Raw genomic sequence first — 27043 nt, forward strand, 5'->3', positions numbered from 1 at the left:
AGACCTCTAGAGGCTTTTCATGTTTCAGAATCCTGCCACTGGAATGTGGACGAGCCCAAGCTACCTGACGAAAAGATGTGAAAACAGTCACCAGCCCAGCTGAGGCCACCTAAGACCAGCCAGGCCTAAGATGATCTATTAGTTGAATCCGGATGCATAAGTGAGCCTCAGACCAGCCAAGCTTGGTCTAGATCTCCAGAACCTCTCTATACCCATGATAAATAATAAATGATTGTTCTTTTAAGCTGCTAAGTTTTGGACTAGGTTGTTATACAGTTATAACTAATTGATACACTACTTCATAGGAGTTTTGTGATTATCAAATGAGATCAGGTATCTAAAGTGCTTAGCACAGTGCTTGAAACAGCACAAATGCACAATAAATATCAGTTAGTACGAGGAGTGGTATAATAGTAGCTGCAGCAGAAGAAAATGTTCTAAACTTCTTATAATGTTCAGTATAGCTTGTTTATCTTACCGTACACCACCTGGATTGAAGCCAGATTAAGCTACTCTCCACACATGTATTTCTCACATCTTAAACTTGGCTATACTCTTCCCTCCCACATGGAGTGTTTTCCTTGCATGTGTACCTCCCAAATTGTCCCTGACTTTGAAGATCTAGCTGAAATATCATCAGCTCCAAGAAGCTTTCAATGATGCCAGTCCATGGAATCAATCTCCCAATTCTCTGTTTATCTGTGGTTCTTTGTTGATTTATCATAAGACTATATACTTCACTTTGTATCAGAGTTCATTGTGTCTATGTGCCATTCTCGGCTTCAAGTTTTCTGAGGACAGACCTGAGGACATGTTAATCTCTGCTCTTCCCCGATGGACCTACCACAGTGCCTAAGTCAGAAAGGACAAATTTGAAATTTTAAGTGCAAGCCAGCTGTAATCAGTTGGTAGTGACTTCCTTGAGTGCTAACTTGGAAATAATCCTGAGGCCGTGTCCGGCTCAATCATCAATGTCTTTCAAGGGCACAAAATGGGAAAGGGCAATATCAGAGTAGATATTTGAATATTTGCTGATTACTTCCAGTTTTAAAATTCCATATTTGAAACAAACAAAATATATGATAGTCTGTCTAATTGTTATGTCATCTCAGCTTCATGACATCCCTGTATTTATTTTTCTCCACTTTATGGGAGAGGTTAAATGGCTTGACTCAAATCACTCAGCCAGCAAGCGTCAGTACTCAAACTTGAATATAGATCACTGCCCCTAAACTCAAGGCTGTTTAGACTGTAGGGTATGAATTGTTCTAATTGACATCATAGCCCTGAGTTTATACTTTCATGCACCATGAAAATTCACTTCATTTATGTCAATTGGAATATTTATTTAAAACACAGTAAAGTACACTATAGTCAAAAGCACATATGCACATTGCCCACATACACACAACAGAGAAGCATGAAATCAAAGAACTTGCTTTTAGTTCTTTCCTTCTATAATTCTCCATGTGGGCAACTGGGCATGTGCCATTGTCATTGCTATAATAGCATCATAAGGCGATAATTTAATGACTGACTTTCCCAGTACTAAATAAAGACAACATTTTTAGTATAGTAGCTTTGGCTGGGGAACAGCGGTATTCTGGAAAACCCAATTTTCTGGTTAACAAAAAGTGACTACATGGAATATTATACAATAGTGAGGAATAATGAACTAGATGTACACAGAGAAGTTTGGACAGGTCACAAAAATAGAATGTTTTATGAAAAAATTAGGAAACAGAGCAAAGTTTTTAGAACAGACAAGTTTACATAAATTAAAAACATGTATGTGAAACCACATTACATATTTTACATATATCACTCATATCCATATCATGGGAAGGGGAATGGGAAAGGAAATGGAAATCATGGAAAAAATTTGAAATAAGTTAGCAAGAAGGGGCCTCACCCATCCAGTGATAATAATTTGCTAAAAAATTAAAAAATATGAGCAGCATAACTCTATGGCACAAAGTGCATAACTCTATGACAGAGGTCCATTATTTTTAATTAAAAACAAATTAACTAAATTCAATTAAAGTTTCTGCATAAACCAAATGTGGATTCAAAATATACAAATACCTCGAATACCATCAAAATTGCTTTCCTCTAAAAGTGCTTTTGTATGAAATATACTTTTCTCTGCCTGTTAGTTCATAAATAAATGGGACACTTTCTATGATCCAAGCATTGGGAATACAAAATAATGTAGAATCTCTGCCCTCAAGAAATTTAAGAACTACTAGTACTTATTGAGCACTTATTAAATGCTAAGATCTGCCCCAAGTATGTTACCTATATTGTAATTATTTCTTATAACATGATAGAGATTATTATGTCCTTTTTAAAGATAAGAAAACTAAGGCTAACAAAAGTCAATGATTTTACCCAAAGACACAGCTAGAAAGAGGCAGAGCTGGAATTCAGACTCAAATCCCCCTTTCCATAAAGCACAAGTTCTTTCTACAGAATGACATTGTATACAATCTGATACTGGGGCAGGTGGGGGTGAAGATATAAAGCATACAGAATCTCAAGTGTAATTATTATAAACATCCTATGGACTCTAAGCTTGTTGAGGGCACAGGCCAGTTTTCATTTATCCCTGCAGGGACAGTGCTCAGCATGCTAGCTGACAACATTCTTATTAAATAAAAAAAGTAGTTAACAGCACTATGAACAGAAGTGTGGATTTATGGTCAAACTTTTTGATTAATATCTTTCCAAATGAAGACAATTTTATTGTATTTATCTTTTTATATATAGACTAGGAAGTTTTACAGACACCTATGGATATTGGCACTTAATTGATACCACATGAAACAATAAACCATGTACCAACATGTGCCAGAGAAGATTCTCAGAGCTGGAGACTGTTTGGGTTCTTCTACTTAAATTTAAATCAGTAATCATATCTAGCTTTTAAGTCATCATCATCATCACCATCACACCACTAACATTATTTTTGTAATATCTGCCACTATCCATCAAACATATTCCATATGACAAACCATGTGCTAAGCATTTTGCATGCATCATCTCATTAACAGCCTTATGAATTATTGCTGTTATTTATACCATTTTACAAATGAACAAAATAAACCTCAGAGAAGTTATTTGCCCAAGATCACATAGGTATTAAGCAATAGAATCATATATTAGTCTGAGTAGGCTAGGATATGCTGCAATAAGAAATATCTCCCAAGTATCACTGTGTTAATTTATGCAAGGTTTGCTGCAAGTCTGAGTCTCAAGACCAACTCTCCTCTCTAGTGGCTTAGAGATCCAGTAGCTCCACCATGTCAACACAAAACCTGCACATTTGCAGAAGCAGGGAAAGAGAGTAATGATCATCTCACACGGAGACTTCCTGCTGCCTCCGCCTAGAAGTGACTCACATTGCTCATATTTCTGTATCCCAGACTAGTAACATGAGTTTTTCTAATGGCAAGGAGGCTTGGAAGTATTGTCTCCAGCATATCCAGGAAGAAAAGAAGTGTATATAGATGAACAGTAGGACTATCTGCACAAATAGGGACTCCAAAAGCCTCTTAATCCATGGAGACACCTGCATCCACCATGAATATTAGGTTTGACTTCTTGAATACTTCCACAGGGCATGGCAAGGGTCGTCACTTGCTGTGCGTTGACCCTGTGCTCAGACCTTTACAAGGCCAGTTATGCACTACTGCTTAGCCCTCACAATAATACCATGAGATAGGCACTATTGTCCCCATTTTATAGATGAGGAAACTGAGGCTCAGAGAGATGAGGTGAATTCCCCCAAGCCAGAGCTGAGGACCAAAGCAAGAGTTTTCTACCTCAAAAACTAAACTACAGCAAGATCACAAAACAATTGTATTCATTCACTTTTGTTATTTTACAAAATGATTCCAAATATGTTATGGATTTAGCATTCATGATAGTTCTATGAAGTTAGTAGGGACACCTCCATTTCACAAGTAAGGACACTGGAGCTCAGCAAGGTCAAGGACATCACCAGAGAGGCAATGAAACCAAGTCCATCTATAGGCAGAGGTGAAGCACACTCAAAATAAAGAGTCCCAGTGCCAGGTCAATGAAAGGTACTAGGCACCCCCCCAAACTTGTCCTGGCAGCCCAATTCCTTTGGAGAGAAGGCAAGAGAAATTCTAACCCCTACAGAGTTCATGCTCTTAAACAGTTATAAAAGCTTTAATATCCAGACAAAATCCAGACCTAAGTGCAAAGGTTACTGGAGTTGGGATTTATTGCCAGATGTAAATCCGTCTTCTCTAAGACCTGCTCCAGTTCCCTGGTGCCTCACTTGAAATATTTCATGTGCACTGAATGGATTTGTTGGCTCCCTGTTGCCTTCATAAATTATAAAGTCCAACTTTCTTAAAGTCTGGATCCAGCAAGGGTAGATCTAACTACCCCACGCCAAGCTTTGAATGGAGGACAGCTTTGCTTCATTCCTGGAGAGTGTCGTTATTGACGCTTTCCAAGAATTAATAAATCATGAACTGCCATTTTGGATTGGGGTTGGGTGGGTGCTGCTGGGCTCACAGCAGATCACCCCAACCTTCAGGGCCCAAGTTTGGGCCACACCCCCACCATTCTGTGGCCACAGTTGATTGGTTCAGCCACAAAAACTCTGAGCCAAAAAAATGGACCAATCAGATTCTCTTTTTTAGGAATATGACACTTATTCCAAGGGACATTCCTGTTGGAGGTCAAGATTTCTTCATGGCGGTCCCCTCGAGAGAAAGTCCTGAGCCTCTTGCTGGGATCTCTGCATCTGGCTTCCTAAGGTGGGGTGTCTTAAGTCACCTTTTCATCCCCCTGCCGTTCAAATGTAGCTTTTTCATTTCACTTAGGTGAATCAGGGTCCATTTTTCGTGCAACCAAAAGAATCTTGACTAGTGTCTATGTTAATCCACTCACTCTCATTACAGACACACATAATTTTCAGCTTCTCACTGCCCATGACCCACTTTTCTGTATTCTTCCCCAAAGCTCATGAACTGCACCTACTTACTTTTGAAGTCCCCAGAGAATCACAGAGCAGGGTGTCGGACAGGGAAGAAAACTAGTGTATGCCTGGGCAAGGAATTCCAGAAGACACTGCATTTCATCAGCACTTTTATGTGTGTCACTCTGCTAGAGCCCAGAGCTGCTGCTGATGAGTTACTCAGAGAGACCAAACATCCTTCTCAATGCACCCTGACTACCTTCTCTGGCTCCATTCCATTCATTCCTTCCCATCTAACCTACCATTAGGATCCCTGAGTAGCTCACTCTATGGGCTTTGTGTATGCCATTCACAATGCTGCTACCTGGAATGCTTCTTTTCTTCTCTGATTAAAAATCCAACTAGTCTGTCTCAGCCAGATCATTTATTGGTTCTTTGCACACATACATAAGACAAGATTAGTTAAGATTAGTTAGTTTCATTGCCCATTATGCACTTAGCATGTCACATTATTATTATTTTCTGATTTATTTAATAATTTGTCTCCCAGTGGACCAGTTGTTATTTAAACATCTCTTCCTTCATAAGATTAATGCTCCAAATTAGCTGTCATATGCCTCTGTTAAAAAAGGACTTCTGGATTATTTGCTTTTTTTGAGTCGACTCTTAAACAGATGTGGCCTCATGGAATAAGACGCTAGAAAGAATCAGTTATTAAATGTTATAAATCAGTTATAAATGCTGCCCTGTAAGCATGCTTGGCCCTACATATAACTAAAGGGAAAAGAGTACAGGGTGGGGTGGGAGAGAGTGGGAGACAGGAAAGTATGTAAAATGAAAGATAACAAAGAAAAAAAAAGGCCAATCTCAGCAGATTCTCTTTTTTGCTGTTGGCTAGCTTCTGCCTGGGCACAAATCCTCTTAGAACGTGGTCATCCATCAAGAGTGCCCATCAAATATCCCATGGTCATTAAGAGAAAAAATACAGTCTCCTCCATACTGAGGAATACTACATAGGTGTCAAAAGAGGGGTATCTCTGTGCATGTTGGAAAGATGAAGAAATAGATTCTTTTTATTTTATTTTAAGTTCCAGAGCACATGTGCAAAATGTGCAGGTTTGTTACATAGGTAAACGTGTGCCATGTTGATTTGCTGCTCCTATCAACCTGTCACCTAAGTATTAATCCCAGCATGCATTAGCTATTTTTCCTGATACTCTCCCTTCCCCCTTTTCCCTACCCACAGGCCCCAGTGTGTGTTGTTCCCCTCCCTGTGTCCATGTGTTCACATTTTACAGCTTCCACTTATAAGTGAGAACATGAGGTGTTTGGTTTTCTGTTCTTGCATTAGTTTAGTGAGGATAATGGCTTCCAGCTCCATCATGTCCCTGCAAAGGACATGATCTCATTCCTTTTTATGGCTGTACAGTATTCCATGGTGTATATGTACCACATTTTCCTTATCCAGTCTATCATTGATGGGCATTTGGGTTGATTCCATGTCTCTGCTATTGTGAATAGTGCTGCAATGAACATTCATACACATGCATGTATCTTTTTAATGGACTGATTTATATTCCTTTGTGTATATACTCAATAGTGGGATTGCTGGGTCAAATGGTATTTCTGGGTCTAGGTCTTTGAGGAATTGCCACACTGTCTTCCCCAATGGTGGAACCAGTTTACATTCCCACCAACAGCGTAAAAGTGTTCCTATCTCTCAGCAGCCTTGTCAGCAGCTGTTGTTTCTTGACTTTTTAATAATCGCCACTCTGACTGGCATGAGATGGTATCTCATTGTGGTTTTGATTTGCATTTCTATAATGATCAGTAATGCTGAGCTTTTTTAATGTTTGCTGGCATCATAAATGTCTTCTTTTGAGAAATGTCTGTTTATATCCTTTACCCATTTTTTAATGGGTTTTTTTTCTTGTAAATTTAAGTTTCTTGTAGACTCTGAATATTAGACCTTTGTCACATAGATTTCAAAAATTTTCTCCCATTCTGTAGGTTGTCTGTTCACTCTGATGATAGTTTCTTTTGCTGTACAGAAGCTCTTTAGTTTAATTAGATCCCACTTGTCAATTTTTACTTTTGTTACAATTGTTTTTGACGTTTTTGTCATGAACTCTTTGCTTGTGCCAATGTCCTGAATGGTATTGACTAGATTTTCTTCTAGGATTTTTATAGTTTTGAGTTTTACATGTAAGTCTTTAATCCATCTTGAGTTAATTTTTGTATAAGGCGTAAGGAAGGGGTTCATTTTCAGTGTTCTGCATGTGGCTAGCCAGTTCTCCCAGCACCATTTATTAAATAGGGAATCCTTTCCCCATTGCTTGTTTTTGTCAGGTTTGTCGAAGATCAGTTGGATGTAGATGTGTAGTCTTATTTGTGAGTTATCTATTCTGTTCCATTCATCTATGTCTCTGTTTTCGTACCAGTATCATGCTGTTTTGGTCACTGTAACCTTGTAGCATAATTTGAAGCCAGGTAATGTGATGCCTCCAACTTTATTCTTTTTGCTAAGGATTGTGTTGGCTATATGGGCTCTTCTTCAGTTCCATATGAATTTTAAAATAGTTTTTTTCTAATTATGTGAAGAACGTCAATGGTAGTTTAATTGGAATAGCATTGAATCTATAAATTACTTTGGACAGTGTGGCCATTTTCATGATATTGATTCTTCCTATCCATGAGCATGGGATGTTTTTCCATTTGTTTGTGTCCTCTCTAATTTCCTTGAGTGGTGATTCATAGTTGTCCTTGAAGAGGTTCTTCAGTTCCCTTCTTAGTTGTTTTCCCAAGCATTTTATTCTCTTTGTAGCAATTGTGAATGGGAGTTCATTCATGATTTGGCTCTCTGCTTGTCTGTTGTTGGTGCATAGGAATGCTTGTGATTTTTGCACATTGATTTTGCATCCTAAGACTTGGCTGAAGTTGCTTATAAGCTTAAGAAGCTATTGGGCTGAAGCAATGGGGATTTCTAGATATAAGATTATGTCATCTGCAAACGAAGACAATTTGACTTCCTTTCTTCCTGTTTGAATACCCTTTATCTCTTTCTCTTGCCTGATACCCCTGGCCAGAACTTCCAATACTGTACTGAATAGGAGTGGTGACAGAGGGCATCCTTGTCTTGCGTCGGTTTTCAAGGGGAATGCTTTCAGCTTTTGCCCATTCAGTATGATATTGGTTGTGGGTTTGTCTTAAATGGTTCTTATTATTTTGAGGTATGTTCCTTCACTACCTAGTTTATTGACAGTTTTTCACATGAAGAGATGTTGAATTTTATCGAAGGCCTTTTCTGCATCTATTGAGATTATCATGTGGTTTTTATCTTTAGTTCTGTTTATGTAATGAATTACGTTTATTGGTTTGCATATGTTGAATGAGACTTGCATCCCAGGGAGGAAGTTGGCTTGATCATGCTGAGTAGGCTTTTTGATGTGCTGCTGGATTCAGTTTGCCCCGATTTTACTGAGGATGTTTGCATCAATGTTCATCAGGGATATTGGCCTGAACTTTTTGTTGTTGTTGTTGTTGTTGTATCACTGCCAGGTTTTGGTATCGGGATGATGCTGGCCTCATAAAATGAGTTAGGGAGGAGTCCCTCCTTTTCAATTGTTTGGAATAGTTTCAGAAGAAATGGTACCAGCTCCTCTTTGTACCTCTGGTAGAATTCAGCTGTAAATCTGTTTGGTCCTGGGCTTTTTTTTTCTTTTTTTTTTTTTTGGTCGGGGGGGTGGGGCGGATTGGTAGGCTATTTATTACTGCCTCAATTTCAGAACTCATTATTAGTCTGTTCAGGGATTCAGCTTCTTTCTGGTTCAGTCTTGGGAGGGTGTATGTGTCCAGGAATTTATCCACTTCTTCTAGATTTTCTAGTTTAACAAATAGATTCTTAAGTGAAAAGGAAAAGCAGTAGAATAGCATTCACTGTATAGAAAATAGCTAACATCTCTGAGTGGTTGCAATGTACAAGGGATAGTTCTATGTGTTTTACATAATAAGTTACTAAATCATCAGAAGAAACCTGTGTGGCAGGCTTATCATCCCCATTTTACTGATGAGGAAATTGAAACACAGAGGCTAAGCAACTTGTTCAAGATAATGTAGCTAGTAAGTGGTGGGGCCACTAATCAGGCTGTCCATATACTATGCTATACTGTATCAGCTGCCTCCATCAGGCTCCCAACCACCAAGCTGCCATTATGTGTGTGTGCGTGTGTGTGTTTGTGTGTGTGTGTGTGTGAGAGAGAGAGAGAGAGAGATTTCCTATGTATAACTTATATTTATGTTATTAACATAGAAAATTCTGGAAGGCAGCCAAGAAACTGTTCGGAGTCCATGCCTCTGGGGAGTGGGGATGAAATAATCAGATGACTTATTTGTCTCTTTGCACCTTCCTACACACGGTCTCAGGAATTCATTCAGCTGTAAGTAAAGAAAAACAAATTAACAGAGACTTAAACAAAACCAGTTTATTTGTCTTAAATAACTAGAAGTCCTGAAGTAGTGGTTTATTGTCTCCTTGGTATCAGGGCTACTTTCCTGCAATTATCTTGGCCTCACTGTCATAGCAACTCTCCTTCTTTGTTTTATTTTTTTCTCCATGGGATTCTTCTTCATCCAACATCCATGTATTTTGCCTGTGTACCTTGTTTATTGTCTATCTTCTGTTCTAGAATGTCAGCTCTGTGCGGATGGGGACTTTGTTTTGTTCTCAGCCATATCCCAGCACCTTAAAACCCTACCAGGTACAGAGTAAGTGCTCAATAAACATTGTTGAACTAATGAATGCTTTAGTTATCATGGCCATATTCAAAAGAAGGTGGAGGTGACACCACTGCCTCTGTCCTCTTCTATTATGAAAACAAATGCTTTTTCAGAATCTCCCACTCAGATTTCCTCCGAGGTTCATGGAGCAGAATTGGGTCACATAGCATGCTTCTCTCCCCTGAGCAGAAGATGCCAGAAACCCAGGAGCAGGAGGCCATGACTGCACTTAGCCATGCCGGACAACATGAAGGTGTTGTTAGCAAGGAAAGACCAGGGAGCAGGTATCAGCTGGACAGCCAGCCACATCTCCCACAGGTTGTTGACTTTTCATCATGTGCATGTTCTACTTTTATTTCCTGTTTTCATTGAATACAGATTTCTGGGTCCCAAGGCAGGCTTGCTCAGAATCTCAGAGGGTGAGACTAGGTATCTGTGCTTTTCAAAGATTCTGATGCACCAACAATAGTAAAAATAACTTTATGGAAAGACTGCATTTAAAGTTAGGAGAAGGGGTTTATGGTCCTGGAAAAGAAAGTGGCCTTTGTAGATCATTGAATTAAACGTCTCCATTTTGCAGATGAGTAAGCTGAGGCTCCCAGAGGGGAAGAGACTTGTCCAAAGCCTGCCAGGCAATCAGAGGCAGAGCCAGGGCAAGATTCCAGAGTTCTGTCTCCCAGACCAGGGCTTTGCTCCCTTCAACCCTTGGCCTTATTCTTCACCATTGCATGTTTACAGCCAGGGGCAGGACCCTCCCATAATTCACATTTAACTTTTACAGAGAAACAACCAAGTATCAGTTTTCCCTTTCTCCCTTTAACTGCATAATCTAGAGTAATAAATTAGTCCCAAAGCAAAAAGATGCCCTTAATCCCCACACTACTTTTTTCATATCCCTGTGGTGTTTATAATGTAAAAAGAGTTTTAGTAGCTAATATCCACTCTCCGCCTTTCCTTTATTTATATGTATAAATTTCTATTTTATAATTATAGTTGCAGGTTTCCCCTCTGCTCTACATCTGCCCTCGAGCCTAAGAGTGACACAGGAAATAGTTTATGTTCTCCGGCCTACACTGACAGTCTAATCCCGCTCCTGTATTTCATGCTGTCTCTGTCAAGTTCATTTTCTCCTGGCCATGAGATAGACATGATTCCCAATGCCTCCATCTCTGCAGACTCAGCGCAGCATGGGCCTGGGAGGAAACCTAGCTACCCACCTCTGAAAGATGTCAGCTTCAGGGCAGAGGGCTTCAGAAATGCAGGCAGAGACTCACACCAAGATCTCATTGGTGAATTTATCCCATTGATTAAATACTTCAGCTTTAGCGTTGTGCCTATGTAATTGTTATGAACATTGCAAACTCTCTTTCTCTTTTGGACCTGTGGTTGGAGCAAACCTGAACAACCAGAAAGCAGAAGTGCATGTGGCATTAAAACTGTGATGGGAAATCCAGTCTCCAAACCAAAATGAAAGAGGCAAGGTGCCCCCTTCCCAGAGGTGGAAAATGCTGCTGGGCTGCCACCCAAAGTCTGTGTCAAACTCCAAGATCAGACTTTTCTTAAGTTCTTTATGCTTTCTTGAAAAAGGTGCTTAAGTCCGTAAGAGGACAGACAGCAATCCAAACACCAAAAGTTTGCTGGGTTTTCTCTTATGCTAATCAGTTATGTGACCTGAGCCAGTGGCTTAACCCTTCTGAACCTCAGCTGCTCATCTGTGAAAAGGGGGTGAGAAAACCTGCCCCATATAACCCCCAGAGTGACAGGGAGAGTAGCAGAGAGCAAGTTATGAAAGTGTTATACATGTAACAGGTAATATGAGAAGATTTCAGGCAACTGAAATGCTGATGTTCCAAAATTCCAACCTGGCTATACTCCCTCCTCCAGCCCCATCATCCAATATTTATGAGAGGTGTATTTGCATGGTCATTTGGACGTTAACTGTGGCACTAGGTGAAGGTAAATGTGTAAAATATCAGCAGAGCGTCCAAAGGCATTGGTGTCAAGAAGACTGTAACATCTATTTGAATGCCCCAACTTTGTCATTTTCTATACAGATATTTGGTATTGCATAGACATAAAAGGGCAGAGAAAGCCAACCATGTGATATAGAAGGATCATGGCAGCTCAGATCAACTACACGTTAGGTGAGGTCATGATTTTTGAAATCACATTATCTTGGCAATTAAGCACTTAATGTGAAACGTGTTATTTTCTGAAGACTTGGAAGCCAGCAGCTTGAGCTCAAAGCCTAGATTGTCAATACTGCTCTATTACACTGGGCAAGCTTCTCTCTCATAGACTAAGTTCTATAAAATGAAACAAATCATAACCACTTTTTAGGTAGAAAATATAGTTAAATTGCAAAGTCCACAGGTGCAAAGATTTTGTCTTGCTGACGCTAAATCTCCAATTGCTAACTCAGTGTTCTTTAATAACAAGCACTCAGTAGATGTTTGGTAAAGGGATGAATGAAGGGTAAATTATACATAATTTAAAAGTGCTCAACCTTGTGGTTAGAACCTTTTGCGTATTCCATCAACATTAAGCCCCTTTCCCAAATTATTATGGTGTTAGATAAGTGATTCCAGGATGATCTGAAAATGTTTAACTCATGAGCTGTAGCCTGCTGAGGGCAGGAACCTGCTTTTATTCAGTGCTAAATCCTCACCTCCCAGAACCAAGCTTGGCATTTAGTAGACACTCAAAAAATGTCTGTTGAATGAATGATACGTGTCTTTCTTTCCAGACAGTCTGTGTGCTACTTGAAGAGAAGGGCTAGCATCCTTGTATTCTCTCATTTTCTTATGACTCCCTCATACTGTACATGCACAAAATATATTCAAGCATTCGTAGTATTCTAGAACCACAGTCTGTCAGGGGTGTGAGATTGCTTTAAACCACCACAATCTGTCAACAGCAAATAAGGATGATGATGACCATATGATAGCTTTGACTCCAAAGTAACAGAAACATCTTCTATTGCCTCTGAAACTCTCTGCAGTCAGAATCTCAACAGAAAATTGCAATAGAAAATACTCACTGTAAAATTCCACAACCTCTGTCACTATGAAAAATGTCATGGAAGAAATTTTTTTTATAAAACAGGAACATGCAAAAGTAATCAGTGCTGGAAAACTCAAAGATAGATGAAGAAAACAAGAGGAGCAGATCCAATAGCTCTGGTTTTATGAATAGACTGTTCTACCGCCCCACTCATCTGTAGGGTCCTCATGAGATCTTTTTTTTACAACAGGTTATGAATTATCCTCATGATGTCTTTAAATGGATGATCAATACTATATTTTCCCATAAAATGTTTGGTTTGAAATCCGATTTTAAGTGCATTAGAGTTTTTGTGCACCGAGTGGGTGAATGCCATCATAAATTGTCATCAAATATGAAAGAAATATAGCATAGATTAATTGCCATATTTATTTATGAGTCTATAAAATACCTTGTGAAAGTCCTGGCACATTTTTGGGATGCCAATTTGAACCTTCAGGAAAGTTAAAAGCATTAAAAGAGACTGCAAGGAGATTTATTATCAGAATGTTTTTAATTGCAGACCTAAGCAGACATGCAGGTATTAGAACAGCTATGCTCTTAATGGGCATGTCTCATGTGTTTCTCTCTCTCTCTCTCTCTCTCTCTCTCTTTTCTTTAAAAATGATATACTTTCCATATTTTTATTGATTTGTGAAGATTTGTTATAAATTACCTATGGCTAGCACGTGACATTACAAATGGTCCCAGCTTCCCTAAAGTAGTGGGCCCCAGGTGGCACAGAGAAGAACGATCCCGGCCAGTTCTAATGCTCAGCTTTAAAAGTAGGAGGAAAGCATGGGGAAGAGAATTCTACGGAAATGCTGCTAATACGATGAAAATGTATAAAGCTGGAAGCTGCTCATGTTTTAATTGAAAGCTTCACGTCTACAGTGGTGAAATCCTTTAGGGGGAAGATGACAAAATATCCTTATAAACTCCATGTTAGCAATGCTTCAGTTAGAGGGCTGTTTGCAACAACATACAGCCCCTCCTGTAGCTGAAGCCAGCAACACCATGGCTCCCTTTCTTGATTGTCTAGGCCATGATTCTATTTCCTAATTGTATACTGAAGGACCATTTCTAGGTCCTATCACATAGGGAGAAAGGGGCATAGCATCTTATCCCGGTGAGTCCCTATGTGTTATTCCTTTAAAGTCTTAATTTCTTACATGCATTTCTTTTCGAAAGACTTAGGCTTCAAAAATTGTTCCCTGGTTTTCAAATCCATACATCTGTTGTTTACTTTAAAGTTTAATTCCTTGAAAACACATCAGATGCCTTGAGCTTTTCATTAGAAAGATGCCGTCATCTACAGGATAAAAATAATCAAGAATTTTTATACATAAAAACTGCTTTGAAAATGAGAAGTTAATGCAGCAAATCTCCCCACCTGCTGATGCCAAAACCAGATTTTTTAAAAATTCCTCTTCCTGAAAATAGTCCGTAACTAATTTCAAGGAGTTGTTTTTAAACCATTGTAGAAATAGAGACATTATCTTTTGGCTGGAATTTTTTTTTTTTGAAGATTTTTTTTTCGGCAGGGGAGTGGTGCTATTTTGGTTTTTTGTATGTTTTTATCAGTCATGGCTGGGTCTGTTTGCTCTTTGCCATTCAATTAATGATTCGCACCAAATTTCTAAAACTCCCAATTACTACATAAGCTCTTTCATAATACACAGTCACATCAAACAGGGGGTATAGACCCTGAACTTAATTTTCTTACAGTGACATCTCTTTAAGATTTTTTCTCTGCTAAATTATACTGCATCATCATGGCACACACTATGTGAATTCACACAGTCCAACTGGAGTTAGCAATATCTCCTGGCTGTGATTGGCTTTCTATATGTTTGAAATATGGTTCTGTGAAAAGACCCAGAATCAGGAGGTCTGAAGTCTGATCCTTCCTCTGCCACTTACTTGGCTGTGTGATCTTAGACTTGCTTCTCACCTCTCCAATATCCTTATCATGAGCCTTAAATAAGATAAAGCAGAGGTGTTTAGGAAAGCTCCCAAGCACTCAACAAATGCTACAGAATTTTACTATTATTAACACACTTTATTAATTTTAACTCTAAACTGAAGTACAATGCTGTCAAACCAAGACCTCTTCATTCAGTCTTATTTTTTACTTTATCCCGAAGAAGTTAATTCTTTCTTTCTATTTGGCACCTTTTTGACAAGAGGCTTCAACACTCTCATCTGGGAATTATTGTCTTTTTATTTTCCCCTCCTGATGCCAGAGTTGCTGTTGACAATATGTATTCAGGCAAGGCAGGGACTCACTGCATTTCACAATCAGATGCCATGCACACTACTTCCGTCAAAACAATTAGTGTTCATTTCGGCTTTACTCCATGAGACCTGCGGTGACTGATCAGTATAAATTATAGATGCATCTGTCCAGATGCACTTGTTCATTCATGCATAGATTTGAGGAAATTTCATTCTTCTCAGTTCAAAAACAGTCACTAAAAAATCCATACTTAAAAAATATAATTTAGCACATCTTCAACTCTGTTATTATGTTCGTGTACTCGCTCATTCCATCTGGGATTTGAGGCATTTGAAGTTGATTTGGGGCATTTCCAGGTTGTTATATTTCCCCCTGTAAAATCTGCTGTCTTTATAAATCATTAGAAAATCATAGACTTTTTTAACCCAAAATAATGAAATACAGTTTGTTTTTCCTCTTTTATTGTTTGTTTGTTTTTTGTGGTACCTGCATGCAAGCTTATTGTGAAACATACATACTTTACTCCGCCTGCTCAGGAACTTCAGTGCATTTGAAGCAAAGCAATAAGAGCTTCAAATAAACAATGTGGATTAGTACTCTCTGGTACACATAGGCTTTTGATTGTTTAATTTGTTTCACATTTGTTTTAATGAGCAGCTAGAGGAACTATCAGGCATGTTGCACAGTACAACAAAAGAATCTCTATCATTTGTTTAAAATACTTTAGGTGGAATGACTCCCTTAAATATAACTGGGAGGGTCTATATTTGATGGATTTATTTACTTGCTTCAATAAAATTCTATGTGTACACATATACAATTGGGGCTTTTTCTCCGAAACTAAATTAATCAGTGCTGAACAAAGCAATGAAAAGCTGCCGGGGTGGAGAAGCCCAAGGCTGCTGAAGTGGGAGTCTGTGAACCGTCAGGAGGACAAAAGCAAATTCCACTGCAGCTTCCCCTCAATCAGATTTTCCAAGAAACAGACATCTTCTCACCTGAGGTTTCTGCCAGACAGAGGTTGATATTGGCTTAACCCACTGGCATTGTTTTGTTACGAGGGTCCCAAAATAACAAGAAGAGTAGGCACATTTCATAAAAACCATTTTTAGGAAACCCCATTAAATGCTCAAGGTGGTAACAATCAAATGTCAGCAAAACAGGGGAGGTTTACCGTGGGTGCAGCCTCTCCCTGGGAAGGAAATGTTAAATCAAGGTCTTGCAAGGCTGGGAAGCCGGAGGAGACATGGCAGGCCTTCCTCCCTGGGAAGTATTCTGATAGAAGCTGCAAAAAACCATCAAGCAACTTTGAGGACAATAGAAAAGGTGTCTTAACATAAAACCTGCTCTTTTGTTTGTTCGCTTGTCTTTCCAGAAGAAGAAAAATGCCAAGATATCTTCATAGTCCTACTTCCCAATTTTCTTCCCCACTGTTCCTCAACATCCTCTTTTCTTTTTAAAAAATTGTGTTGCTTTTCTCAAATCCTAGAGAGCAAAGACAAGAAGTAGGCCTGGAGGCCCTGCACACAGCATTGATAAAACAGAGGTCTTATAAATCAGCTAAAAATCAATAATTCCTATATGGTAGTTTCTCCTTTGCAACCATATCGCCAAGGGACAGGGCTAATGCTTTTTCTCCACCACCAGCCCCATTTTTCTGTCATAAAATTTTTAAAAAAAATTCTGCTTAGGAACAAATGGGCAATCGAAGTTGCTGAGTCAGTATTTCTACTATCTAATTTTATTACTTTACAATTGACATACCTTCCCTCTGGAAATGTTTGCAATTAATTAATTAGCAGTAATCTTCCCCAAGGGATGAATTTAATGAATACTCTCCAATTCTTACTTTAAAAAAATAGCATAGATGTATCCAAGCTGCAAATGTGTGGATAGTTCCAAAGTGCATTTTGAAAAATCAAGGGATCTATCTATTACTGTGAATTTTTATCACTAAGTCAATCTGGTGAGGACTATAATTCTTTTTCTAACTAGGAGTTTCCCTGGATGAACGCAAGGTTTCTCCAAGGTAACAGCAGCAGCAGCAGCAGCAGTAGCTGTGTTTGTTAGTATTTAGAATGGAGCTTGTCCTCATGTTAACAATCTCTTAAGCAGAGGAGTCTCTGGTTTGTGGCTTAAGCTCCTTGAGCATTCTGCAGAATGTGTTTTTAAAACGGGGTGTGGGGACCTAGAGATGTCATGCTAAAGAGATCAGTGTAAGGTGCTAGTGGCAAACTTGGAGTTGAGGTACGCCCCGTCCAGGACCCCAGACCTTGCCCCGCCTCATACAAGAACCCAGAGCCGTTGCTATCTTCTGGGCCACAGGCTCTCGCGTTTCAACTAGAAAATAAAACTGGGCCCTTGAACCAACCCCTATGGCTCCTTGGAGGAGTTGCAGCAAGAGCCTGGTGCAACTTTAAAAGTATAAAGCGCTTTTAAAAGTATAAAGCGCGGTGACCCCGGTAAGTGAAAGGCAAGGCTTTCTGAGGTTTCTGGCCTGCAAATCCCACTGGATTCCTGCAGTGCCCACCGAAGACCTTCCCCTACCAGACCGACAGTCCCTTTTCACCCCTAGACGTCGCGGGTTGGAGGCTCTCAGAAGGGCAGCTGGGGCCAGAGTACTGAGCCTTCAGATGTGCAGTCTACCGTGCTCGCAAATTGGAGGTTCCATGTCTCGGGGCCAGGCCTAGAGGAGGCAGCCCCTTCCTGGGTACCAACGAGCCTCCCCCACCCCTGCCGCCGCCCACCCATCAGTGCCCCTTTGAAGACCCCTGGGATGGAGTGAGGGGGTGGTCAGACCGCTGGGCCCAGCCGGGCGTCCAGGAGGAGCGCAGGGAATGGGCCGCCCTCCCGGAGCGCTCCACTGCGGCTCTCCAGCGCCACCCCCAGCGGAGCGCAGGGGCTGCAGCCCGGACCGGGAGCCTTCTTCAGGCTCCCTGGCTGCCCCGCGGCCACTGCGGGAGGCGCGCGCGCGAGGCAGCCAAGCCTTGCCTTCGGAGGAGATGCCCAGGGATCTTAGCAAGCAGCCTGCGGCTGCCAGGGATCGGACCTGGCGAGTTTCCCGACGGAATCTGAGGGATCCCGAACCTCGGCCTCGAGGGGGCGCTATCCGGCCTACTCGAGGACCAGGCAGCTGCAGAGAAGCTCCAAGGTCAAGGCCCTGGGCCAGGCCAGGGCTTGGAGAGCCGGAATCTAGCCCGAGTCCTGGGGAGGCTGAGGCGGGGAACCAGATCCCCGAGGACAAAGATGGGCGGGCCAGTGGGATCCACCGACGCTGCCCGGAGCTGCTCCAACGAGAGCCGGGCCTGTGGCGTGAACAAACTTTACTTCAGCGCAGGGGCGGAGGAACCGGGCTGGAGGCTTCTCCCCCGGGCCTCTGCTCTCCTCCACCTGCCAGTGCTCAGCCTCCGCCCAGCCTTCGCCCACCCCAGCTCCCTCCCCCTCCCCCACGCGCCTCTGTTCACTCAGACTCCTGTCTCCCCTCTCCCCTCCTCCTTCTCCCTCTTGCCTTTCTCCCCCACTTTTCTCCTGTCTCTTCTTTTGTATTCTCTCCTCCCTCGCCGCCCCGGTTGCCTCTCGCCTCCTCCGGGCCGCAGGGGAGGAGGTGAGCGCGCTGCGCCCGGGGCCTGCGCGGCTCAGAGGGAGGCGTTTCTCCTACTTCTCCCGGGTAATTTGGAGAGGTTGTGTGTGTGTGCGCGCGCGCGTGAGCTCCAGGCGAAAAGGGGTAGGATTCAGCGCCGAGCAGAGAGGGTCAGGGTTTTTGACGTTCCTCGCCAGCTGCACAAACCTCCCGGAGCAAGTGTGAGTGTGGGTGAGAGTGCGCGCGCGCGCACGGGCTGGCTGCGCTTGGCACGCTTGGTGGCCCAGGGTCCCGGGGCCCGGGGTCCCGTCTGGCGGCCCGGGATTACCGTGACGTCACATTGAGCCTCTGGCCACCTTGGACTGGGACACCTCCGGAGCCTCACAGCCCCGCGCCGCGCCGCGCCTCACCTCGCCACCACGCGCCTTTGGGAACCCGCATCTTCTTCCTTCCCCTGCCCATCCATGGGCCCTTCTGTCTTCCGGACCCCACGGGCCGGAGGGGCGCCTTCCGGAGCGCAGGGCTCGGCAGCCGGGCTGCCCTCGGCTCTGCCTCCACTGGGGCCAACCAGGCGAAGGAACCGGCGCTGGGCATCCGCAGCGGTGTAAGGAACTGAGACACCTCACTGCTGGGGGCGCGGAACAGCTGGGCTGAGACGGGAACTCGACAGGGAAGAGAGAGACGGGCCAGGGACAGCCACCATGTCCTTCCCACACTTTGGACACCCGTACCGCGGCGCTTCCCAGGTAAGAGGCGCCTCTATGGGGGATAGGGGACAGACTGGGTGGAGGGAGTGCCTAGTGCACGGCGCCTGCCTCTGATCATCCTCCTCTTGTGTTCTGGGGGAAGCCAGAAGGAGCAAGGACCAGGGTAATGTGTCACAGCCTCCTCTGACATCCCCAGTCCCTAAATGAGAACGTTTCACCCCGGAGTGCACGCTGGAAAATCTTGTGACCTGAAACATGAGCACTCTGACCACGCGCTCAGTGAGGTGGGTGGGATCACAGGGATCTCCCAGTCAGGCCTCCTCCTATACAGAAGTCTGAGGTGGCCGGGAGAGAAAGAAAGAAAGAAAAGAAAGAAAGAAATAAGGAAGGAAGGAAGGAAGGAAGGAAGGAAGGAAGGAAGGAAGGAAGGAAGGAGAGAGAGAGAGAGAGAGAGAGAGAGAGAGAAAGAAAGAGAAAGAAAGAAAGAAGGAAAGAAAGAAAGAAAAAGAAAGAGAAAGAAAGAACTTGTAGGCTACAACGCTGTCCATCTCACCATATTGTTGTTGATTTGTTGACCTCGGCTATTCTCCTACCCCTTCCTTGGGCGGGCCCAAGCTCTCCGGTTCCCTCGATTTTCCAAACCAAAGTGGATGTTGTGCAATGACAAGGGTTTCCTGGGAAAGTTCTGCGGACACCCCCTCCACTGTTCTCCAGCTTTTCTCTAGAGTTCTGAGTGTATTTTCCTGTTGTCTAGTGCCGGCTCGACCTTTGACCTGCTGTGTGATCTTAGACAAGTCTCACACTCTCTCTGATTATCCACTCCCAATCTATAGAATGGGAGCAGGAATGAGACGTTAATAATGGTCTCTAAGGCCACCTTCTAGCTCCGCCTTTGCAGGATCCTGGGAGGAGGGTAGGGAAGGGAGCAGAGGGTTTGGTGTCTTTAATTCCGGTTTCAAAATGTTCACATTTTCCCGGCCTCCTGGGGCTCTGGGGCCTTAGCAATGGAGTAGGAGCATCTATAAGGGCAGTTTGGTTAATTTATAATTCCCGTCCCAGCACCTAACAGAATGCTCAGCCCAGGTGGCATTTAGTTAATGCATAATGAAGGAATGAATGAAGGAGCAATCTGATTATCTGATTTTCTCTTCTTTGTTTCTAGCTCCCTTCAGCGGGAGCGGGGGCGGGGGTGGGGGGGGGGTCTCTGACCTCCAGTGCCCTCTTTCTTGCCCCTATAGTTTCTGGCGTCGGCAAGTTCCAGCACCACATGCTGCGAATCTACCCAACGCTCTGTCTCAGATGTGGCATCAGGCTCCACCCCAGCGCCCGCTCTCTGCTGCGCACCCTACGATAGTCGACTGCTGGGCAGTGCGCGACCGGAGCTGGGCGCCGCCTTGGGCATCTATGGAGCACCCTATGCGGCCGCTGCAGCTGCCCAGAGCTACCCTGGCTACCTGCCCTATAGCCCAGAGCCCCCCTCACTGTATGGGGCACTGGTGAGTACAGGGGTGGAGTCCCAGGGGAGTGAGCAGTAGAGACAGGTGAAATCCAGAGAAAGTCAAGGAAAGACCCACACCTCCCGAGGAAAGGAAATGGTTAGGACTGTGTATAAGGAGGACAAAAAAATACAGTACCTTACAGTTTGCAGAACTTCATACTGTTTAGAAAACATTTATACTTCTATTAATTCTGTGAGGTAGGCAAGTAATCATTAATCTCAATTTAAGAATGAGGAAATAGAGGTGCACAGGAGTTCAAATACTTTGCCCAATGTCACAGAGATACAAAGGGTCAGAGAAAAGCTCCTGAAGAAGATTAAAGCAGGAAGTGCCCCAGCTGGTGTGTGTTGTGGGGCAGGGGGCGGGGGGTGGGGGGCAGTAAGGGGGGAAAGGAGGGAGGGACAAGTGGTACAGTAATAACAGCAGCTAATATTTAACTACTGCTTATTCTGCACCAGGGATTCTGCCAAGCATTCTGCCAGCATGGTCTTCTTCAATAACCTATAAGTACTATTATCCCCATTTTACCAAGGAAGAAATTGAGGCACAGAGTGGTTAAGCCACTGGTTAAGCAACTGTGCCCAAGGTCACACGGCCAGTACCAGTGGCCATACTGGGATTTGAACCAGACCCTTAGCTACCACCCCATGTGCCCCCTCCCCAACTGTACTCCTGAATTCTCTTTTCCTCTCCCTCTAGAATCCACAGTATGAATTTAAGGAGGCTGCAGGGAGTTTTACATCCAGCCTGGCACAACCAGGAGCCTATTATCCCTATGAGCGGACTCTGGGGCAGTACCAATATGAACGGTAAGGAGTGAAGGGCCTTGGTGACTGGCACTGTGAGTCTTTCCTCCCCCACTGCCAAGGTAGGGTGGATGGCGGCAGGGGAGAGGGAGGGAGCTGAACCACACTTCCACGCCACAGACTGTCCTCTGCCTGCAGTTCCTTGTTCCTCTTCTATAATGTGAGCCAGGTTCTCCCCCACAGGTATGGCGCAGTGGAATTGAGTGGCGCCGGTCGCCGAAAGAACGCGACCCGGGAGACCACCAGTACACTCAAGGCCTGGCTCAACGAGCACCGCAAAAACCCCTACCCCACTAAGGGTGAGAAGATCATGCTGGCCATCATCACCAAGATGACCCTCACCCAGGTGTCCACCTGGTTCGCCAACGCACGCCGGCGCCTCAAGAAAGAGAACAAAATGACATGGGCGCCCAAGAACAAAGGTGGGGAGGAGAGGAAGGCAGAGGGAGGAGAGGAGGACTCACTAGGCTGCCTAACTGCTGACACCAAAGGTACTGAAAACGTTCACCACCCCACCTTAAGGGTTTTACAAGTCATCAAGCAGTTTGGTCTTTCAAAAGCTGCCCTGTAGGGTAGATTTTCTGGAAGGTCCTCAGACTTACCCTTGCACTTCCCTGCCTGTCTCAGAGCATTAGCCTGTGCACTGCCTTCTACCTGTAATTCTCTACACAACCGGCTTCTTCTTGACATCAAAGTGTTACCTCCTAAAGTTCTTCCTGCCTCACCCAAGCCAAAATAGCCTCCCAGTTATTTTCTGTTCTGCCAGCCTGTTTGGATTTCCTTTGCCATACTTGTCACTGTGAGAAAGTTTACATACCCAACTTCCCTCTCTAGAATGGCAGCTCCACCAGAAGCCTTACTTGCTGCCATATGCCCTACACACCTAATACCTAAATGATGGCTGGTGCTCAGTAAATATTTGCTGAATTAAATGATATAACAGCAGCCACTTGTAGATGTTGAAATCGAGTAAAAACTGCCCCCTGGTTTTTCACAATTGAGAAACTGAGATCCAGAACTCAGGCAGCGCCAAGTGGCATTTCCTTGGCTTGGCACTGCTCGCTAGAGGAGGAGTCCGCTAAAGGGTGGTTGCAGGGCTGGGGCAGAAATTCTTTCCCAAGGACAGGTGGCCAACAACCCTGGGCAAATGCAAGGGGTGGTACGGCAGGTCTGGTGAATTACACTGAGGATGCCCTGAGTGCAGGGCGCTTCTTGCTAAAAGCTTCTCGGGGATGGACATTCCTCGGATTTCCCTTGGGCCCTGGGGCTTTTCTCACTCGCTCTTGATTTCCTGCAGAAGTTACTGCTAGCCAGGAGGCCCGGGGGCTCCGGCTGAGTGACCTGGAAGACCTGGAGGAAGAGGAGGAGGAGGAGGAGGAAGCTGAAGACGAGGAGGTAGTGGCCACAGCTGGGGACAGGCTGACGGAGTTCCGAAAGGGCGCGCAGTCACTGCCTGGGCCGTGCGCTGCAGCTCGAGAGGGCCGATTGGAGCGCAGGGAGTGCGGCCTGGCTGCGCCCCGCTTCTCCTTCAATGACCCTTCCGGATCGGAAGAAGCTGACTTCCTCTCGGCGGAGACAGGCAGCCCTAGGTTGACCATGCACTACCCATGCTTGGAGAAACCGCGCATCTGGTCTCTGGCGCACACCGCGACAGCCAGCGCTGTTGAAGGTGCACCCCCAGCCCGGCCTAGGCCACGAAGTCCTGAGTGCCGTATGATTCCTGGACAGCCTCCTGCCTCTGCCCGGCGACTCTCAGTCCCCAGAGACTCCGCGTGCGACGAGTCTTCCTGCATACCCAAAGCCTTTGGAAACCCCAAGTTTGCCCTGCAGGGACTACCGCTGAACTGTGCGCCGTGCCCGCGGAGGAGCGAGCCTGTAGTGCAGTGCCAGTACCCGTCTGGAGCAGAAGGTAGTGGGCCCCCAGCGGCGCTGGGAGTATCTATGCAAAAGACACCCACCTACCGCCCCGCCCGGCAATTGCACACCCTCTGCCATTCCAGTCTGCCCAGGTCTCCCACAGAACTGACGGGAGATTGCTTTACAGCGCTCTTTCAGACGGAAGCGTAGAGATAGGTTCTAGTACTCCCTTATTTAAAAGTCAAATAATAATAAACTCACAGGCAGACTGTAATTTACCTAGAATCACTTAGAAAGCCGTTCGAGAGATGGACAACCAGGATCTCTGCATTCGTGTGGTCCAGTGTACTGCCAAATCCACCAGGTGTGCATCACCATGCTCCTCTAGCACAAACGCCCTTGTCCCCTGCCTGCCTTTCAGAGGAGACTCGCTGGTCCCTGCTGTGCTGCTCAGAGAGTTTACTAGGGTTGGGCAGGCACCAGGGCTTTTAGAGAAGTCTAAGACTGTGGGCCAGACGCACACCACAGATTTAAGGTCAGTGCTTAAGTCCAGCTTGCAGCCCTGTCTGTGTCCCACCAAAACCCCTGGAAAGTTGTAGACATGCCCCTGCGGTCAGCAGCTTCAGGCCCCAGATTGGTACTGTCCTTAGAGAGCACTCTACCCAGGGCTCATCCCCAGGCAGGCCAGTGACTGCCAATCAGTGTCCCCTGATGCTGGCTGGTTCTTTCACTGTGTTAAGGACCTGGTGGAAGGGAATTTCATCCCACAAAGGGACATTCCCCAAGCATGAGGCAGCCTCCAGCAATTACTGTCAGATTCTGCTCTTTGTAGTAATTTCTCTCAGGATTAGCTGCTGGCTTAGAAAAGTGGGTTACACTGTTATTTGAATTTACGCAACGGATCCAAACATTACCTCTGGCAAGCTAATTGCCTCTAGACCATTTGCTTGCCTTCAGAAGAGACATGGCTGACCCAGAGGTTTCCTAAGAATTGCCACTAAACAGCCTTTGGGTTTTAATCAACCTTTCCTCTCTCAGCAGGTTAGCGCAATGGCTGCGATTTGCGAAAGAATCTTGGAAATGGGCCCCACGTTTCGAATTCATCTCCAGGTTAAGAAGCTGCCAGACCTTGCCAGGGACCAGGAGCTCTCACTTTGCCTAAGAGACAGACACACAGAAACCCTCCTAGCAGCTGTCCTTGCACGCAGAGCTGGGGTGGTGGGCCGACTTGAACCTTAGCAGTCCCCACGGGAGATGGCAGGGCACCTTGGGGAAGGCCAAGTGGGAGGCTGGGAGGCTGCCCCACCCACCGACTCTACCAAGTCTCTCTTCCTCCTGTGGATTCAGCAAGGCTTCCTCTCCTGCTCACCCCTGTCTCTCACCTCCACCAACCCCACTCACTTTGTAACTTCATCACTGACCCGGCCAATAAGGACCCTGTGCGTCTTCTCCCCCTCCTAAGCCCTTGTGTCCTTAAAAATAATCAGTCCGAACCCATGTAGTGTGGCCTATCTTTGCCAGAGGTGCTTGAGAGGTCGGTGTGCAGGCAAAGATGCATTGCGGCCAGGGATTCTTGCGACAGCGCGGCGTGGGCTGCATACCTCAGTTCCTTTAGTAGCTGGGAAAGAAACTGACAAGGTAACAGACAAGGCCGTGGCGCCTGCAGCTCAGCGGACTAACCGCTGCGTAACCAATCCGTGGAGCCAAGCTGACCACCTCGCGGGTCCTGCGCATGGGAAGTGGTGGGACTTGTCAGGATGTTTATCTGGAAACTGCATCTGTTTCCGGGTTCGTATTTGGGTTGTAAGTTTACTGGGGGAGGGGTGACGAGGACCGCGCTCCTCCGATCGAACTGAACCTAATGGGGAGGTCAGGCAGCTTTCAGGGTCGGTGTGAGGCGAGAGGGGGCATTCTTCCCGTTTTATCAAAAGTGTCAGCAAACACTTCCGGTACAGGCCAACCAATGGGAACTGACGGGCAGGGAAGGGGTCTTTGTCCCCCTTGCTAGGAGTGTCGAGCGACCGGGTTGGGGGTAAGAGATTTAAAGACGCCCGCGCAATGGTGGGTGGGGGAGGCTGCCTGCGTTCGTGTCCCGCGTCTAGTGGCTTTGGCTTTAGCCAGGGAGTGAGCGCACCGCTGCTCGCAGGGAAGCAGGGACCCGGGGCAGTGCCCTAGAGGGGAGCTCCGAAGAGCAAATGAGGCGGGAAGGCAGGACGAAAGGCAGCTGGGGTGTGCGCCCAAGGCCTGGATTCCTGGGGAGCTGCGTTTCCAACGCCGGGTCCCGGCCAGGCCAGGCCTTCCAGGCCAGCGCGGAGGCCAGACTATCAGTCACTGAAATCCAGGCGAGCATAGTCCGCCTCCTGGGCAGGATGATTGAAAACCTTTGGAGGACGATGAGGGGAAATGTGGAGGTTGGAAGTGCTAGGGAAGCCGAAGCAGCGCGCCACCTCCTAGCTCCTCTCTATGGAAAAGACAGCTTTGCTGTCGGAAGGGACTTTAGAGATCATGACTTACAAAAACTGCAAACCTCCTCTTCAGATGAGAAGGTTAAGCCCAAACGGGAGGGCAGGTGAACAGCTCAGGGTCACAGCGGTCCGTGGTGGAGACCAACTCCAGCTTTCCATCGTGGTCAATGTCCCTTTTCGGTTCCCGCTCGCCCGCCCGAACACTCGCCCGCGCTTCCTCTGGGAGACCCCTCTTTGCTTTCGTTTTGTTCCTGGGCAACAGCTGCTCCCAACCCCAACCTCCCCAGGGACCCTCCAGTCGCCCTCGCTGACCCGCGGCTTAGGGTCCGGAAAATTAAACTGCGAAAAGATAAACATTATTTCCAGTCGGCTTTGCGGGATTAACGCTTGTAATAAAGAGCATTAGCTGGAGGTTTCTTTCAAGGCACTCTCGACCCCACCCCCTACTAGGGGGCCAGGTAGACCCCTCCGGAGACCGCAGAGGTGGCAGAGGCGTCCTAGGGCTTCCAGTTGAGAGTAGGGCCCTAGAGAGCCATTTCCTGGAGGGGAGAGGGATCCTTAGAATCAGAGAGTCAACACTTGGAGATGGGAAGCTGAAGATCAGATTGGAGAAGGGACCCCACTAAACTCAGTTCATGTGGCTGAGCAGGGTCTGGGATCCAGAGGGTGGGGGTTAGGGGGAATCTCACCTTCACACGACCTCCTGCAGTTCAGCTCTAACCTGGGAAAGGAGGCCTTCCCGAGTTGCCCTACTTCACCACCCAGGACCCCAGGAAGTTGTCTCTCCAGCTGCAAGAAACATCTCTTGCCTGGGTGGCCTAGCCTTTCCCTGCCTTCCCCAGCCCAAAGCAGGAGCCTGCAGCCTAGGGTTATCTCAAAGGTCTGATCCTAGTTGGCTGGAGACAGTGGGGCGTGAGAGGGGCTGAAGGGCAGCCTGGCATCCCAGAAACCTGCTTTACCTTCTCAATTGTGTTACCACCTTGTTTTGTGGCTTGGACAAGCCCCTTCCCCTCCTAGTTCTGCCACTGTAAAATACAGGGATGATCTAGTTCTCCATCCTGCTGCTCAGTATCTCCTCCAGAGCTGATGGTGAGCTCCAGGGGTCTAGGAGAAGG

At 45.4% G+C, this 27043-nt stretch overlaps 1 protein-coding gene across 2 annotated transcripts, besides 2 other annotated features; it reads left to right on the top strand.

Annotated features, from left to right (window-relative positions):
* Positions 1-18406: 18406 nt before the first annotated feature.
* Positions 18407-24960, top strand: IRX6 (iroquois homeobox 6). 2 transcript variants are annotated; one of them, NM_024335.3, is made up of 6 exons: positions 18407-19340; positions 20540-20797; positions 21500-21609; positions 21790-22097; positions 22904-23515; positions 24502-24960. In NM_024335.3, exons 1-6 carry the CDS (start codon positions 19296-19298, stop codon positions 24507-24509), a joined length of 1341 nt encoding a protein of 446 aa, NP_077311.2. In that variant the 5' UTR covers positions 18407-19295; the 3' UTR covers positions 24510-24960. The 2 variants fall into 2 exon arrangements, with proteins under 2 accessions (NP_077311.2, XP_005256194.1); XM_005256137.4 differs by having other exon boundaries at positions 24505-24960.
* Positions 20204-20704: an enhancer, noted in NCBI's record as "H3K4me1 hESC enhancer chr16:55359912-55360412 (GRCh37/hg19 assembly coordinates)". NCBI's record gives its function as "activates a minimal SCP1, AML or CMV promoter by ChIP-STARR-seq in naive H9 embryonic stem cells {active_cell/tissue: H9 hESC(naive)}" and the evidence as "EXISTENCE:reporter gene assay evidence [ECO:0000049][PMID:30033119]".
* Positions 22727-23244: an enhancer, noted in NCBI's record as "H3K4me1 hESC enhancer chr16:55362435-55362952 (GRCh37/hg19 assembly coordinates)". NCBI's record gives its function as "activates a minimal SCP1, AML or CMV promoter by ChIP-STARR-seq in naive H9 embryonic stem cells {active_cell/tissue: H9 hESC(naive)}" and the evidence as "EXISTENCE:reporter gene assay evidence [ECO:0000049][PMID:30033119]".
* Positions 24961-27043: the final 2083 nt, after the last annotated feature.

The sequence above is a fragment of the Homo sapiens genome, chromosome 16 (assembly GCF_000001405.40).
Source record: "Homo sapiens chromosome 16, GRCh38.p14 Primary Assembly".
NCBI classification, from domain to species: domain Eukaryota; kingdom Metazoa; phylum Chordata; class Mammalia; order Primates; family Hominidae; genus Homo; species Homo sapiens.